The 18,883-nt window shown below is 44.3% G+C and overlaps 1 annotated feature.

Annotated features, from left to right (window-relative positions):
* Nucleotides 3,272-3,454: a silencer, noted in NCBI's record as "fragment chr3:72023234-72023416 (GRCh37/hg19 assembly coordinates)". NCBI's record gives its function as "represses an EF-1alpha promoter that drives an FKBP-Casp9 reporter gene in an ReSE screen in K562 erythroleukemia cells {active_cell/tissue: K562}" and the evidence as "EXISTENCE:reporter gene assay evidence [ECO:0000049][PMID:32094911]".

Raw genomic sequence — 18,883 nt, 5'->3', positions numbered from 1 at the left:
TTGCTAGGAGGTATGTGCCCAAGTCAGAAATAATTTGGTTATGAGTGACAAAAAACCTACTCAGACTAGCATAGGTAAAATGGGGTTTATGGAGCAGACAGAGGGGTGTCTCATGGAATCCAAGAACAAAAAGTGACCAAGGCTTCTAAGAAGCAGGAAAATCATCACACACTCGCTGGTCCAACAGTACTCTTGGGGACTGCACTGTCACCCTGGCTGGAGTGCAGTGGCACAATCACAGCTCATTGCAGCCTTGACCTCTCAGGCTCAAGTGTTCCTCCCAACTCAGCCTCCCAAGTACCTGTGTGTGCCACCATGCCAGCTAATTTTTGTATATTTTGCAGACACAGGGTTTTGCCATGTTGCCCAGGCTGGTCTCAAACACCTGGGCTCAAGCGATCCTTCCGCCACAGCCTCCCAAAGTGCTAGATTACAGGCAAGAGCCACCACACCCAGCCCTCATTTTCCCCTTTTTAAGAACTCTATGAGTTAGATTCCATCAACTTCCATATTCCAGGTATAGGAACAGGAGCTCAGAAAGGTTGTTATGTCCCTAGGTCACACAGCTGGTAGCAGGTGCTAGAGCTGGGAGTCAAACCTAAGCCTCCCAAAGTGCTGGGATTACAGGCATAAGCCACTGCACCTGGTCTCTGATTCTTTTTTTTTTTTTTTTTAAGATGGAGTCTCTGTCACCCAGGCTGGAGTACACTGGCAAAATCTTGGCTCACTGCAACCTCCGCCTCCTGGGTTCAAGTGATTCTCCTGCCTCAGCCTCCCGAGTAGCTGGAATTACAGGAGCCCACCACCACACCCAGCTAATTTTTGTATTTTTAGTAGAGACAGGGTTTAAACATGTTGGCCAGGCTGGTCTTGAACTCCTGACCTCAAGTGATCCAACCTCCTTGGCCTCCCAAAGTGCTGGGATTACAGGCGTGAGCCACCGCACCTAGCCCAGCCTCTGATTCTTGATTAACAAACCATAATAGTCACAATTCAGAGTCCTAATCAGTCATCTGTGAGGCAGGAAGCGGTGTTTGGGCACCAGCTCTGGCTCAGACCAACACTGCAAAATTAAACATTTGTGAGTGGTTCTTAGGCAAGGATGAGGGAAGTTCTATCTCAAGGGAGTATTAGGAAATAGATGAGGGCATTGTTGATTGTCACAGTGACTTGGAGGAGGGCCACTACTGACATTTAGTACATAGGAGCCAGGGGCACTTAATGTCCTCCACTGTATGCAACAGCCCCACAAATGAATTGTTCTCACCTCACATCCCTCCCTCACTCAACCCACCAATGCCAATAGTGTTCATACTAAGAAACACAGAATCCCAGGGAGCTTCATTTCACTTTCCCAAAGGAGTAGCCTTAGCTCTTTGGGCCACTACAGTTTTTAAACTCTGTGGCGTAACCATGACTGTGTGATATCTTGGTACACAGAGGCCCTCTGGTCGTGATTTGTGCTGCTAGGCAAACATTCTGATCATCCCCATTCTGGACACACGGAAGGGTAGGAGCAATGTGTCCAGCAATGGGCAATGAGCTGTGAGCCAGAGAGCACGCCCCTTCTGCAATGAACAATGAATTGTCAATGAACAATCCACAAAGGTGCTCTTTTTTCCTGGCCACAGCTGGAGACGTTGTAACAATGGCTGCTCCATGAGTATGGGTCCTAGAGGGAAGACAGTGATAATTCAGAGTAGAACCTCCTGCCTCTCAATGATGAACATGTGTATAGGTGAAAAATAAACCTTCATTATGTTAAGTCACTGAGATGTCGGGGACTGTTTGTTACTGCAGCAAACCCAGCCAGTCCTGACAAATACAGGCTCTCAGAATTGCTATGTGCCAGGAACTCTTAAGTACTTAACAGTGTTAACTCATTTAATTCTTACAACTTTATGAAGTAGATGCTACTATCATCCTTCCTCACTGTATAGATGAGAAAACTGAGGAACAGAGAGGTTAAGTTGCTCATTGAAGTGACAGTAAGTGATGGTGCTGGTATTTAAACCCAGGCAGTCTGGCTTCAGAGCCATATCTTAACTACAATGCTGTACTGCCTCTTGAGTTTTATGTAGCAGGTGCTTCCACGCTAAATGACTTTAAACTACTGTGCTTCAGTTATCTAATTTCTGCTTTCCATGTAGTTAACAATTTTGATTCTTTATTCGTGTTGGTTGTCACTTTTTGCCATTGTCATCATACCTGCTGCTAGCAATAACTCCTTCTTTTTTCTCTTCTAATATGCTGTTTCTAATCCATTATGGACTAGGAAACCAGACAATTAAGCTTGTTATGCACGTTATAATTGTGACTAATTGAGCCCGGCCACCTTGATAGTCAACATCGCTCTATCCCACCTCCACCCACCTTGCTCACACTTTTGTAATTGTGTGATTGGTGGCTCTTGTATCTTCCCTCTAGAGAGCATGCTCTTTTGAGGAAAGGTAATGAGCTCAATTCACCTTCGTGTCTCTCTGTCCCCTTCCCCCAGCACCCAGCACAATGCTTTCCATGTGTTAGGTGACTAATAAATATCTGCTAAGACTATTAAGTAATTAAGTTCTGAGTAATGGCCCAAGAGCTTGCCTATAAGTTAATTAGATGGGCTTTGCTGCTAGCCTGTGGGACATCCGTTTTAGCTGTCTAGGTGCCTCTGGGATTTTCTCAGTTGTGTCTTGGATACTTAAGATTATAGGACAAAGAGATCAATTAATTCCTTCATTTAGTCTCTCGGTAGGTGTTTATTGAGTTTCTACTGTAATATTAAAAATACTAGCAACTTATATGTCCTGGATATTTACCATGGGCAAGTAATATTTGAAGCACTTTATAAGTGTTAATTTATGTTACACTCACAACAATCCGATGAGGTAGGGACTGTTGTCATCATCCCAAAGGCTGAAGAAACTGAGTCACAGAAAGCAAGTTTCCCAAGGCCTCATGGCTACTGAGAAGTGGAGTTAGACTAGTCAGGTGCTGGACCTATAGGAGGACAAGACAGAGAAGACGTTTACCCTCAGGGGGTTGACATTTTTGTGGGAAGGCCAGATATGAAACAAATAAGCATATAAATCTACTAACTGATTGTAGGTTGTGATAAGTGTTCTGAAAAGAATCAGCAGTGTGCTATAATAGAAAATAAAGCAAGGGACATAGGAGCATGGTCCCACAGGGCGTCTAGGAGTGGGTGCATTAGCTTATCTATTGTTGGATAACAAACTACCCCAAAAATGTAGTGCTTAAAATAATAGACCTTTACTATCTCCCAGTTTCTGTGGGTCAGGGATTTTTGAGAGGCTCATCTGCGTAGTCCCAGCTTGGGGTTTCCCACTAGATTGTAGTCAAGATGTTGCCTGGCTGGAGCTGCAGTCATCCAAAGGCTCGACTGGGGCTAGTGGATCTGTTTCCAAGGTGATTCATTATATCAAACAGGGTTCTCTCAGACAAGCAGAACCAGTAGCAACGATATAGATCACAGAGTTGGGGGGATGGTTATAAGTCTCTTTCCAGGTATAAAGCTCTCCCTACATCTGATGCTAGACCTTGAAATCCACAGAGCAAGCAATCAGGAAGGAAAGGCCACAAGCAAATGGAAACCCCACCAGCACAAGCTAGAGCTCCACAAGGATAGACTGAAACTCATGTTCTTTGTGGTGAGGGCATCCTACAGAGGTTGGGCATTTGTTCCAGATCTGAACACACACACCTGGCCCAGCTCCTGCATCACATCAACAAGGTGAGTCAGCAGGTGAGTAACAATGTATTTGCAATACAAAATTGCTGTTGCCCCCAGTACCACTACCCCCTACTCCAAGTCACTGAGACTCTCCCTCATGGCCAACCCTAACTGGAAACATACAAATAAGGGGATTCTGTAGTTCAGCCTAGTTAAGCTGACACACTGCAAACCCATCACATCATGACACTCACTCCAGTGGCTCTTAAAGGCCTCAGTTCCTCCTCGGCTGTTGGCAAGAGGCCCAGTCCCTCACCACGTTGGCCCTCATTAGGGCTGCTTGACTGTCCTCATGACACGACAGTGACAGCTGGCTGCTCCCGGAGTGAATGGCCCAGAAAGAGAATGAGGAGAAGACGGCAATGCCTTTCATAGCCTAGTCTTGGAAGTCGCCTATTGTCACTTCTCCAGTATTCTATTCATTACAAGTGGGTCATTGAGTTCAGAACACATGCAAGGGGAGGACAATTAGGCTCCACCTTTTGAAGAGAGCAGGGTCAAAGATTTACGGGTGTATTTTAAAACCAGGAGACAGTATTTAAGCTATGGGGAAGGCAGCAATTTGAAGAGCCAGAGAAGAGTGTTTTGGGGCAGAGGTGACATCAGGAGACCCTGAAGAGTTTGATGTGTGTCTTTTGCTGTGTGTTTGTTTGCTGTCCTCTTAAGGTCAGCGTGGCTAGAGCCTCATGGGCCAGCCCCTGGGGAAAGCTGCCTAACGTGAGGCTGGGCCTCCTCAATTGTGAGGAGCAATTTGTGTTTTATTCCAAGTGCAACAAGACACCATCATGAGGTCACAAGAAGAGGGACACAGTCTGGTTTGCGTTTTTGAGGTATTGCTGTGGCTGCTTTATGGGGAGTGGATTGGAGGAGGATAGAGTAGATGCAGGGAGCCCAGAAGGGGCATCAAAACACCATGCCTCTTCTTGTTCAAGCTCTATTGTTTATTTGGTCAATTCTTGTAAGCTTTCTGAACCCCTTTCGTCAACTGTCAAATGAGGTGACTACTCCTTGCACACCTCCCTGAACCACTGCAGGACTCACAAAGAGAATGTATGTGGAGACACACTGCAAAATGCAAAATGTTCTGCAATGCAGCCGGAGAACTTTTGCCTGACTTGCTCTGGGTTAATACCACTTCCAGAGTTAGGTAGTTTAACTCCAAAAGAGCGCAATCATCAGGAGAAGCCTATTTTTAGCTTCAGTGTATCTATTAGTACAATTGCTACTCAACACTTCAACAGAGTTGATACCCACCTAAGTATTTAAATGACCAAGAACCATCACATCGCTGGGGGCAATGCTGTGAGATCACTGTAACATCCCAGCAATCATTCATGACAACTCATACCACCTGGCCATGTGGCATTGCCTGGCTTAAGTTAGTGTCCTGGAGGCAGAGCCTAAGATGGGGACTTTTGAGCAGGTGGTCTATGGAGGTGGCGCTTCAGGGTAACCTGCAGCAGAGTGAGGGAAGCAGGATCAGGCAGGAGAGCGAGCAGGCAGATGGTGGTTTCAGGAGGGAACTGGCCTGAGTATGATCCTCTGGGGAGCTCTGGAGCATGAAGCATGAATTGCAGAGGTTATCCTGCCCGGAGGCAAGAAGGCTTGGCTGGTATACAACATCCTCTTGGCATGATTGGAATAATCTCTTGTAGTTTAACACATCACCGCAAGAACTAATGACTTAAAACAACAGTCATCTTCTTGTACACAGATGTTCATAGCAGTATTATTCACAACAGCCGGAAGGTGAAAGCAATGCAGGTGTCCATTGCCAGGTGAAAGGATAATCAAAATGTGGTATATACATACTATGGAATATTATTTAGCCTTAAAAAGGAAGAAAATTCTGACATGCTACAACATGGATGAACTTGGAAGGCATTATGCTAAGTCAAGTAAGCCAGTCACAAGAAGGCAAATATGGTATGAGTCTACTTATATGAGCTGCGTAGAGTGGTCAAATTCATGGAGATGAAAAGTAGAATGATGCTTGACTGGAGGGAGGTGGGAATGGGGAGTTGTTTAATGGCTATGAAATCTCAGTTTTACAAGATGAAAAAGCTGATTGGTTATACAACAATGTGAATATATTAACACTATCTACTTGACTGTACACTTTAAAATGGTTACAATGATAAATTCCCCATTATGTGGGATTTTTTTATTTTGTTTTTGTTTTGGAGACAGGGTCTTGTTCTATCACCCAGGCTGGAGTGTAGTGGCAGAATCATGGCTCACTATAGCCTTGAACTCCTGAGCTGAAGTAATTCTCCTGTCTCAGCCTCCCAAGTAGCTGGGACTACAGGCACACACCACCACGCCTGGCTAATGTTTTTTTTTTGTTTTGTTTGTTTTGTTTTGTTTTTTTTTCTTGTAGAGACAGGGATCTCGCTATGTTGCTCAGGCAGGTCTCGAACTCCTGGGCTCAAGAGATCTGCCTACCTTGGCCTCCCAAAGTGCTAGGATTACAGATGTGAACCACTTTGCCCAGCCTTGTTATGTGTATTTTACCACAATTAAAATAAAAAGTAAAATTTTAAACAACAGTAATCATTTATTATCTGTCACTGTCTCTGTGGGTCACAAATTTGAGGGTGGCTCAGCTGGGCTGCGCCAGGCTGTTCTCACTCAGGGTCTTTCATGAGGGTACAGGCAGATGGCAGTTAGGGCTTAGCTGTCTTGAAAGTTTCTTCACACATGTGTCTTGTAGCTGGGCTGAGAAGACTCAAACAGCTGGGGCTCCTTAGGGGTCTCTATCTCTACCTCAGTGTGGTGGCTTCCCGGTCATTGAGCTTCTTACATCACGGCTCAGACTCCAAGGCACATGTCCTGAGGGACAGACAGAGACAGAGAGGCAGGCCGAAGCCGTATTGTTGCTTACAATCTAGTTTGGAAGGTACATTAGTCTCCTAGGACTGCTGTAACAAAGGACCACAAGTTGGGTGGTTTAAAACAACAGAAATTTGGTCTCTCACAGTGCTGGAGGCCAGAAGTCTGAAATCCAGGTGTTGGCAGAGCTGCACTCCCTCTCAAAGCTCCAGTGGAGAATCCTTCCTTGCTTCTTCCAGCTTCTGGTGTTGCCAGCAATCCTTGGCACTCTGTCTTGTAGAAGCATCCCTGCAATCTCTGCCTCCATCTTCATGTGACATTCCCGTGTGTGTGCATGCCTCTATGTGTAAAACAATAACTGTTTTAACAATAGTTGTGAAGATGGAGTGAGTTAATGCTTAGATGTGTCATAAATGTCCATTAAACATTAGCAACAGGCCAGACATGAAAGCTCAGACCTGTAACTTTGGGAGACAAAGACAGGTGGATCACTTGAGCCCAGGAGTTCAAGACCAGCCTGGACGACATGATGAAACCCTGTCTCCCTGTCTTTCTCCATATAAAGACAAATTTCCCCCTCCTTCTCCATATAAAAACATGAGTCGCTGGATTAAAGCCCACCTTAATCCAGTATGACCTCGTTAAAACTTGGTTACATCTGCAAAGACGTTTCCAAGTAAGATCACATCCATAGATATCAGGGGTTGAGACTTGAACATATCTTTTTAGAAGACACATTCAACCTACAACAGAAGGCATGCAGCCACTTCCACCTCATCCTCTTCCTTAGAATCCTGAAGTCTTTAATACTGGCCCACCTTCAAGGAGAGGGAATCTGCCTTTTGGTGAGAAGAATGTCAAAGAATTTGCAGGGAGTGTGTAACCTCCCAGGCATCTCAGGAGCTGTGTCTCCTGCCAGCCATGCCCAGCCTTCAGAGAGGGTGCAGGTGTGGGCTGTTAAACCAGCACTGCTGCAGCTGGGCAAGCTGGCCTGGTACCAGGCATTTGGGAGCAATGCTACAGGACACCTGCTACAGGAACGTAACAACCAGTCCTTTGCAGACCAGTGGATCAACTCATCCCCTTCCATGGCATGCTACAGCCAACTATTCTTCAATTATAAAAATGGCATCACCTCTTAAGTAGAAAAATATTTTTTAAAAATTTTTTTAATAATCACATTTTTTGATACTGTTTAGACAGCTAAATAATAATATTTGCCCAATGAGAATATTTACAACGGGTCAATACTGTTCCAACTATTAACAGATTTAATCCTGACAATTGTAGGAGGTTGGTTCCATTATCATCCCTATTTTACAGATGAGAAGACTGAAGCCCAAAGAGGGTTATGTAAATTACCCAAGTTCAGATGGTTGCTCAGTGGCAGAGCTGAAGTTTGAAACTCAGCATCTGGTTCCACAAATCTATGCTGTTAGTCTCACTACTATACTGCTGTTCTGAAATAGAATCCAGTAAGAAAAAAGCAAACCAAACTTGATCTTCTATTATATAATCATTCAGATTTATAATTGGATTTAAACATAGCCCCAAGAAATTAAGGACCAGCAGGTCTACAGCCGCTTTCCCAAGAGGACTGTTATACTGAGGTATAACCACTTCTTCCAGAAGCAAGAGCCTGGGATAAGCCAAACCCAAGGCTGCCTGGGCAAGGTATCATTGTCCTGGAAGAGCACATCTAATTGAGGCTCCAAATCCAGCATTAGCAAACCCTTCAGGTGTAATTAATCTGCAACAGAGAAGCTCTGCAGGGCAGTGTGAATTCTGCAAGCAGACCCTCTCTCCTGGTAGTTAGATGAGGTAAATCAACTAATTTCCCCGGTGAGATATGTTTTCTGTTGGACTTGTGCTTTCAATTATCCAGATGAAGAAAAATTCCATTTCGGAGGCTCTTTTCCAAATCCCAATTTTCTTCCTTATTCCCAACTCTTAACACTTCCTCTTCTCTAGCAGCTACCTAGGACCAGAGATTCTGATCTTTCTGCTTAGTGGAGTGTGTGTGTGTGTGTTTGTGTGTGTGTGTGTCTTGGAGGCTGGGGGCAGTAGGCAGGGGTGGTGCAGCACCCTGAGCAGTCATGAACTGCCAGATAAAATGCCCTTGATCTGATGGTTTCCTTCAAACCATCAGACTGCATCACTCGACAATCCAGCAGCCTCCAGCTGATGGATTTGCAGAAGTGCTCAAGGATAATTGGCATTTTAATGGGAAAATGCCGTGTTCCCAAGTGTCAGAATAGCAATAAGATACCCCAAGGGCCATTAACACAGTTCTTGGGTAATTAAAGTTGCTCACCCATCAGTCTTGGTCGCAGAATCTATCCCATGCTTGCAGCAGGGCTTCTGAGGGTGCCCAATTCTCGCAAACCACTAAATTGGAACTCTAATGATCAAATGGCTTTTCCCATTCAAACGCACACATGCAAAAGACACTGAAGAGCAGTTGCACCTCCATCTGTCACTGCCATTCTTCTGTCTTCTCTCGCACTAGGGCTGGGCTCAGGAGAGAACTGTGAGAAACATGGGTGATAGAAGGAATAATCCTTAACTGACTCTTCTGGTATCAACTTACAGAGGCCACCTTTCAGAAGGTCATTTTGATCCAATGCATCCACAATTTATTTATAGTTTACAGATGCCAGATACAGGGTGCATGGTACCCCTTGGCTTGGTGATTAGGGCTGGGGCTGTACTTTAACCTCCCTTCACCCGCTTGGCTGGGCATCTGGTGTCCACATAATTAGATGTGCTGGTCCTTGCTAATGTTTTTGTATTTTTTTTTTTTTTTGAGACAAGGTCTCACTCTATTGCCCAGGCTATAAGGCAGTGGTGTGATCTTGGCTCACTGCAGCCTCAACCTCCTGGGCTCAAGGGATCCTCCCACCTCAGCCTCCTGAGTAGCTGGGACTACAGGTGCATGCCACAATACCTGGCTAATTTTTGTATTTTTTTTTTTGTAGAGACAGAGTTTCACCATGTTGTCAAGGCTGGTCTTGAACCCCTGGGCTCAAGCGATCTGCTGGCTTTTGTCTCCCAAACTGCTAGGATTATGGGCATGAGCTGTCATGCCTGGCCTGTTGCTAATGTTTAATGCACAGTTATTATGCACCCAAGCATTAAGTCACTCCACCTTCACAACTGTTGTTAAAACGGTTATTGCACAGATAAAGAAGCCGAGGTTGAGAGAGGGAAGTGGCTTGTGTAAGGTCACCCAGAAAATGGAGCTCAGGCTCAAGCTGTCTGATTGCAGAGCTCAAGGTTTTCACCACTACCCTATTGTGATGGTTGATTTGGAATGTCAACTTGACTGGATTAAGGGATACCCAGATTGCTGGCATTATTTATTCTCCATGCTTCAGTAGGTAGTAAGCCTATCTCTTTTCTGCTGAAAAGGAAACCCAGGTGGCTTTGCTTTTGACTGGAATGATTGGGCAGCCCCAGATGTGTCTGTGAGGGTGTTTCCAGAGATTGGCTTGTGAGTTGGTAGACTTAGTGGGGAATATCCGCCCTTAAAGTGGGTGGACACCATCCAATCAGCTGTGGATCCAGATGGAACAAAAAGGAGGATGAAAAAGAGAATCCTCACCCTCTTTCTGCCAAGCCTGGTAGCTCTTCTCCTGCCCTTGAACATCAGCATTCCAGGTACTCTGAACTTGGGACTCACATCGGTGGCCTCAGACTGAGAGCAACACCATTGCCTCCCTGGTTCTGAGGTCTTCAGACTTGGGCTGAGCCAAGTTACCAGCTTCCCTGGGTCTCCAAGCTTGCAAGCATGGGCCTCTCAGCTCCGTAATCGAGCCAGTTCCCCTAATAAATTCTTTGCATGCATCTCTCTCTCTATGTCCTATTGGTTCTATCTCTCTGGAGACCCCTGACCAAAATGGCTCTCCTTCTCTCAATCACTTTTCAAAATCTGGGGGCAACCCATTTCTGTACCTGTTAAAGAAGTATATCTTCCTATGAAAGCATTCTTAATTCTCATTTTGACCAAAGGGTTTGTCCTAGTGCCATTTTGGGAGCATGAAATAATGCTCAAGTCAAAGCTTGTGGGCTGGACTGAGGGCTTTGAGAAGAGGCTGGCGTTTGACAGGCTTTCTCCCATCAGGGACCACCTGCCCTTAGGAATAGGGACAGGAGAGTCAGGGTTCTGACAGGAAACAGGTGGCTCACTCAATCAGGGCACTTGTGGACTGTTTAATAAAAGTACTCTACAGAGCTGAGGGCAGGGTTTAAGAAACCAAGGGAGGGATGGGGAGAAATTCCAAGTCAGGCAAAAGCCAGAGCTGCTACGTCCTAAGATATGAAGACAAATGGGGGTTGGGGAGTCAGTGGTTTCAGGGACCTAGAGAAGGTAACTGCTTGGAGGTGGCTGCATGACAGGGGCTGTGGCTTCCCTAGAGGAACACAGCAAGTGAACTGGTAAAGAGGGGGTCCAGCCTCATTCTCCTCTTGCCTTCTCTCCTGTCAGCCCCTGCTTTCAGCTACACCCAACCCAAATCCAAAGGGCAACGAAGCCACATTCACTGGGGGCAGCATTCACAGCTGCAGTGTTTCTAGGCACACCACAGGTGGGCCAGGAAGAAGCTGAGTCTAGAATGAGAAATAGAAAATATCCAGCACAACAGAATGATGACATAGAGCCGTGTGCAACCGGATATTCAGTGGGACAAACTTGTTTCCTGAGATTTGACTGTTGGGGGGAAAATACTTATTCCCCTGTTTGTTCTTCACTTGTTTTTAGATCAGGAGAATCTTGGCTTCTTTCTGCCCCTTCATTTATTTGCCTGAAGAGAAAGAATTAATTGAGTGATGACTTTGGGACAGAGGAGGCAAGGTAGCCCAGCCCCTTCCCATCTGTCCCCCTTAGGGAGCAGCCTGACTACTTAAAGTATGTGTTCCAGTCCACTCTCAGCACTGCAGCTATCTTGGCAGGAAACCCCTGCCCCTAAGAAGAAAGGCCCATGACTTTCCAATATTGCTTGAGATTGGCTAGGTAAATACACCACATTTTGGGATGTCCCAAATGTGGGACATTTCGCGAGTCCTTTGGCCAGATCTAAATACATCTTTTCATCCAGTTTTATCAGAAATAACTGGTCTCCCGATCCCTGTCAGCCTTTCTCCTTTCGTTTGTCATTGCTCAGTGCCTGACCTAAAGTAGAAAAGAAAAAGCTATATTTCTTTTTTTCTTTTTTTTTTTTTTTGAGACAGGCTCTCGCTCTGTTGCCCAGTCTGGAGTACAGTTGCACGATCTTGGCTCACCGCAGCCTCTATCTCCCGAGTTCAAGCGATTCGCATGCCTCAGCCTCCAGAGTAGCTGGGACTACAGGCATGTACTGCCATGCCCAGTTAAGTTTTGTATTTTTAGTAGAGATGGGGTTTCACCCTGTTGGCCAGACTTGTCTCGAACTCCTGACCTCAAGCGATCAGCCCACCTCAGCCTCCCAAAGTGCTGGGATTACAGGTGTGAGCCACCACGCCTGGCCAAAGCTATATTTCTTTAACCTCAAAACTGGCAACTGAGAGTCAAAGTTGAGGACTTTGTGAGTGTCAAAAGTTTGTGTCAAGCCCCAAACCGACACATCCCATGGTGTATGAAGAAGCAAACGAACTGACATGCCTCTGTGCAGCAGTGCCCATCCTCCAGCCCCCTCCCCACTCCCACTGGCCTAAACAAGCAGAAGGCTAGAGGAGGGAGGTATTTGAAGTTGTCCCTTAAGTGGTGGGTGCCTAGGGAATAGAGTTGTTGCACCTCTCTTCCCTCCCCATGGAGGATGGAAGGGGTGGTGCTTTATTCCTGAAGCCAAACAAAGGAAATTTCAAAAGGATCACTAGGGCATTGGGCAGGGGGACAAGAAAGGGAAAGAGATGGGAAGAGAGAGGGGAGACCAAAGTGCAAGAGTAGGTCACATAGATACCAAGAATGCGACCCCATTAGGGCCATCTTGCCACTGACGCATCCAAGGAAGAGCTCCAGAACCAAAGATATAATTGGAGGGGGTGTTCTAGTTTATTGCTGTGTGACAAGCCACCCCAAAGCTTAGCAGCTTAAAACACCAGCCATTTTATTATATGTCATAATTTTGTGGGGCAAGAATTCAGGCAGGGCTCTACTGAGAATTCTGCTGCTCCACGTGGAATCAGGTGAGGGCCTCTGGTGGTGTGCAGCTGGTGGAAGGGCTGGTCTAGTGCCTTGGCTGCAAGGCTGGGTTCAGCTAGGACTATTGATTGGCACACCTACAATTGCCTTCCCAGTGTGACAGTCAGACTTCTTACATGGTGGCTCAGAGGTCCAAGAAACCCTGATGGCAGCTGCAAGGTTTCTTATGATCTAGCATCAGAAGTTTGAGACTGTCCCTTCCGTTGCATTCTATCAGCCAAGGAAGTCACTAAGGTGAGCCTACTTTCAATGGGAGGGGAAAGAGACTCCTCCTCTCTATGATAGGAGTAGCAAAGATTCCATAGCCATCTCTATATATCCAGGAGGCATTACGCATATGTCTAGCCAGAATGTTTGTCTCAGGTCAGGGAAGGTCCCCCACCCAGGGCCTTTTATATAACTTAGTTATCTGCCCCATGAGAAGGCAGGTGTTGGCTGCCAGCCCAGTAGAAGCCATTGCCAGAGAAGCCAGGAAAGTCTCAAAAAGAAACAATAACACCCCTTAAGAGGCATTTGTCCCTTTTTCCCCAGCCTGCTCCTCAACCCCTAAAGCACTAGAGGAAGAAGAGCTAAAAAACAGACCACATCCCTTCCTCCTCAAGATGCCTTAGGTCAAAACCAGGTGTGCTCTGGGGGTTGGGAAATGAAGTTAAATTGGGGTATGAGATTGAATCTTCAAACTTTAAACTAGCCCGGACTGGACTTTTAAAACGTAAAAATGACTGGAAAACTAGGGCTGAAATCTGATTAACGGAGAGTAGACATAGCACAGTTAAAGTCAATAATTAGAGAAAATAAGACAGTTGTTTGTATCTTTACTGAATTTAGATTTTTCAATAACCTGGTAACATTTTCATAATAACATATGGGTGTTATGCAATTAGCAAGAAATAGGTTTGTAAGATTTGAAGATGCTCCTTCCTGAAAAAAGTACAGAGCTTAAACCTCTTCTAAATGATCCATTGTAAGGGCCCATAATCTTTTCTCTGAGATGAAGCAGGGACACTGGTATTGGAGAGGAAAAACTTTTCCTCTACCCTCTTAGGTGAGATAACTGGGGGCCTGTGAATTAAACTCACAAAAGACAAACTGACAGGAGAAAACGCACACAATTTTTATTCATATTTATGTGCATGAGAGTTCACAGAAAAGAAGTGAAACGCAAGCAGTTAGACTTGAGAGCTTGTGTGCCCTTTTAACAAAGAAAAGAGGATCATAAATTGTGGGGCAGTAACTGGGACATATACGGGGGAACTAAGGGAAAATAAGGATTCTTTTAGTAAAGTCTGTTTACGTAGACTCATCTTTGTATGGACCCTTCATCTCTTCACTCTTCTCTTCCTGGTACATGTGTTTGGGATCAGTCACAAAAAGGAATGCCGCCTTCTGGTGTGGGACTTTGGTGGCATTCACTCCCTGTGCTGCAAGCGTTGCTGAGAAGTTACATCTAAGATAAAACAGGAGCAAAGGATCCAGCTTTCAGTTTTCATAAGACTCAAGAGCAGCATCAGCATCACTCAAGGAACGGAGATGGACACAGTGGGGTATTAAAAATACTGGTGACTAGCGCTAGGGAGGCTGAGGCAGGAGAATCGCTTGAACCCAAGAGGCAAAGGTTGCAGTGAGCCAAGATCACACCACTGCACTCCAGCCTGGGTGACAGAGCAAGACTCCATCTCAGAAAAAAAAAAAAAAAAAAAAAAATTGCTGATGACTGCATCAGTCGAGTTCCTGCCAGGACACAGATGGTGCTCTCAGCATGAGTAATTTGAGGTGTGTTTAGTAAAGGCACTATCTACAAAGGGGTGGGCAGAGTATGGGACACCATAGTGGACTTGCAAAAACGCAGGGCTGGTAACAGAGAGCTATTATCACCCTGATGCCTTGAAGGGACAGGAAGGGACAATTATGGGGACCTGGAGGTGGCATGGGCTTCCCGGGAGGAGCTGTGATCTTTGAGGGATGCTGCCACTCCCAGGCAATTCCAGAGGGAAAGAATGAATTGGTAGAACCCAACCAGAAGCCACAGGAAAGGTGCCTCCTGGGCCACAGAGCAGGGTGGAGAATGGCCAAGAATAGATTGTGACAATGGAAAATACCCAGCACGGTGACAGTAAAATGGAATATCAGCAATCACTACCAAGCAGGAACTCACTACATTCCAGACCTGGTGCTGAGCATTTTACAGGCATTCACTGATCGAATCATCGCAAATTTATCAGCACAGTTTCTATTCATATTGCCCACATCACAATTTACTAAATTGTCCAGCACTGCACAGCTAGGAAGTGGTACGACTGGGGTCTGTCCTTTTCATTGTCTTTAATGAGCTCTTTCAAAACTCTGTTGTAGGAAACTGATAATAATGCCAATAAGTTTGGTCCAGTGGAGATGCCATTGAGTACCCTTTGGAAGTAGACAGTACCGCATCTGTAGGGGCGTAAAAAAAATAGTCTCTCTACATTTCATAGTTCTTAGTTAGGACAGACTCCTATAACAAAAGACAGATTAACAAGAGAAAAAGTTTATTAACATGTATGTTTCATGTATATATGGGAGATACCCACAGAATGACTAAATCTCAGAGGAAGCTTTGAAATTAGGATTATGTAACATTTTTCACAAAAAAAAAAGCAGTACATTTTTAGAGAGTGATAAGACAAAGGAAAAGGACTCTAAGTCTCTAGGGATGGCAAATTGTGGGAAGGCAAATAGCAGACAAACGCTGATAATACAGCTTGTCAGGTAGATGCTTCTGCTGCCTTCTAGCTGATAAGGTTCTAAGGTTGTCTTCATTGTCTTGTTTTTGTCCTTCCTGGTAGAGAGGGGAGGAGGAAAAACTTACCTTTGTAAATTTATATCCTGCTTTTCGGCAAGTAGGAGGAGGGCAAAGAGGTTTCTTGTACCTGCTTCTTCTCAATTACCTTCAGCTCAAAATGATCCTTATGCCAAAATGGCATCTTTTGGGGTGGCGTATCCTGGTCTCCTACACACCTATTAGCAAATCCATTTGGGCATTTCTGACTACCTATATAGGTGTCTGCCTTTTTTCCCCTCATTCTCCTTTGGACTGGTTGATTAAACCTAACTGATTTTTTTTTTTTTTCATTAATTGAGTTAAACGAAATCTTTGACCTGCATTCATTTTATGTGTGAGTCATGCCTTTACCTTTTAGAAAATCTCTCCTTTTACCATGGTCCACCTGCATGCACCTTCACCCCTTCATCCCAGTCCTTCATTGACTGACCGATCTCTCCCTTTGGAAGTCCTGAAAATTGTGGGAGAGATGACTTCTCCCATTTTCTCTTCCTGTTAGTGGCTGGTGTTTGATTTCCAAGGGTGCTGGGCCTTGCTAAGTCCCAAGGCCCAGAAATCCCCACTTTTCTGTGTACTAGCAGCAGAATAGCCCAGGGCCAAGGGCATGGGCTTTGGCATTCAGTTGTACCACTTCCTAGCTGTGCAATGCTGGACAGTTTACTCTAGTAAGCTGTGACCTGGGCAATATCAATAGAAACTGTACTGATAAATCTGCGCAGACAGAGCAACCTCTGAGATTTACTCATTTCTATGGGTATCTCCCATGTACATATGAAGCATTCATGTTAATAAACTTTTGCCCTTGTTAATCCATCTTTTGTTATAGAAGTCTGTCCCAGCTAAGAACTATGAAGGGTAGAGAGAAAATTATTTTTTCCTTTCCTACAGATACAATATTGTCTTCTTCCAAGGGGGACTCAGTGGCATCTCAACTGGACCAATCTTATTTGCATTATTATCAGTTTCCTACAAAAGAGTTTTGAAAGAGCTCATTAAAGAAAATGAAAAGGACAGACCCTGATAGAATCAGATAACCCACGCAGAAGGTGCACCTAATATTCCACTGAAAGGCTATCCAGTGATCTCTTGAGCCTGTATCAAAGGCTTTTCCAGTTATTCTTGACAATCATGATTGCAGTTGTCCGTAAGTTTATAGGCTGTAATTCACATGGTTGTCACCCATGTGGTTGTCCAAGTTTGCAGTGCCTGACAGTTGAAGGAAGAAGCCAGCAACAAGAAATATTTTCACTGTTCCTTAGACCTCACCCCAGACTTTCCCTCTTCCTCTCCCCTTCTTCCCCTGATTTTAGACCTCCTTTATTTCTAGAGAAAATCTTCCCCTATTTTTCTTTCCCTCTGAGATACTTCTCTTATCTTTTGACAGTAAACCTTGATGGCTAATTCATTAGCAACTGAAAAACTGCTTCGTCTTTCCTCCAGGGCAGCATGAGCTTAAATCCTCAAACTGTGAGGAGAGAGAAATTCTTTGCCCTCCATCCTTCAGGGGAGCACAGCAAAGGAAAAAAAAGAAAAACAACAAAATTATTTTTCTGTACTAAATTAAAATGTAATTAAACAAAATTAAGTAAGTTAAAATTCCATATTAACACCCTGTTCAAGGCTTGGTTCAAATGTCACCTTCCTAATGAGGTCTTCCCTGACCATCTTATTTTAATTGCAACTCCACACTCCCACCCATCTTGTACCCCCTACTCAGCTTTATTCCTTATAAAGGGTTGCAGCCTGCAGGCTGGGAAGTATAGCCTTGAGCAGAAACCAAAAGCAGGGTACTGAATTTGGACTTTATGCCAAAAGGGTTGGTTAAGTAGATATGTTTAACAGACTATAGGAGGGGCTATGAATGCGCATGACGGTGTAGTAAGCAAACATGCATGTTATATACATCCCATGTTCACTTTGAGATAGAGACTTGACATTTAAATGCATGAAAATTCAGCCCTATATGTCAAAAGGTGTAAACAGAGGACACAGAGGCATCCTGTATACAGTCCCTGTAACCCAGCCAGAACCAGTCCATGATCGGTAGTCTCTTATCAGGAAGAGAAGCTAGTCAGTGGTTTAAATTGGAGGTAGAGCAAGTCTTTTGAAAGTGCTGGTTTCTGGTTAACTCTTTTTTTTTTTTTAAATTGCATCTCACTTTAATGTGGAATCTAAAAACAAAAAAGGTCAAATGCACAGATATAGAGAATAAAACAGTGGAAAGGGGGAGATGTAAATCAAAAATACAAAGTAGCAGATATGCAGAGTAAACAAGTCGAGAGGTCTAATGAACAATTTGAGGACTGTAGTTAATAAAATTGTATTGAATTCGTGATTTTTGTTAAATAGATTTTAGCTGTTCTTGTTACAAAAAGTGTAACTATGTGAAAGGATAAACATGTTAATTTGCTTCACTGTAGTAACCATTTTACTATCTACATGTATGTTGTAAACCTCAAGTATAAATGATAAAATTTATTTTTAAAATGGCTGAGGGAGCTTATCACCACTAAACCTGCCTTATAAGAAATGCTAAAAGGAGTTTTTTTGAGTGGAAATAAAAAGATGCTGAAGTAACAACATGAAAACATATGAAAGTATAAATCTTATTAGTAAAAGTAAATACATAGTCAAATTCAGAATACTGTAATACTGTCACGGTAGTCTATAAATCACTTTTGTTTAATTCTACTTTAAGTTCTGGGATACGTGTGCAGAAAGTACAGGTTTGTTACAGAGATATACATGTGCCATCATCTAGGCTTTAAGCCCCACATGCATTAGGTATATGTCCTAATGCTCTCCCTCCCCTTCCACCCCACCACTCTCTGGTTAACTCTTAAGAAAGCAAGCCTAATGATGGTTAGCAAGGGAAGGGGTAAAATAAGGCATGTCCAACCTCCTATCATGCTGGGAACTCAGTTTTCAAGGTTTCTCAGAGGTCCCTTTGGCCAAGAGGGGGTCCGTTCAGTCAGTTGAGGGGCTTAGAATTTACTTGTATTTCTCAGATGTCAACTCTTTGAAGGCAAGGATTTTGTTTCTTTTGTTCAATATCTTAACCCTACCACCTAGAACAATGCCTGACATATAAATGTGCGATAAAGGTTTGCTGTGCAAATGAATGGAAATTGTCTAGACACTGACATCCTTCCACACTTGACTCACTGGCCTGCACACTAGGCTTCACACTGTCTGTGACCTAACCTATGAGCTGCCCTTCTTCGGTTTTCTTCTTTCCTCTCTTGTTTCACTTAGCATCTAACTGTGAAAGCTGCCTGAGATCAGGGAGCAGGAAATGGAAGCTGAAAGTTGC

This window comes from Homo sapiens, chromosome 3 (genome assembly GCF_000001405.40).
Source record: "Homo sapiens chromosome 3, GRCh38.p14 Primary Assembly".
In the NCBI taxonomy this organism is placed as follows: Eukaryota; Metazoa; Chordata; class Mammalia; order Primates; family Hominidae; genus Homo; species Homo sapiens.
The sequence above is the reverse complement of the archived record's forward strand: the minus strand, read 5'-3'. Positions and strand labels throughout refer to the sequence as shown.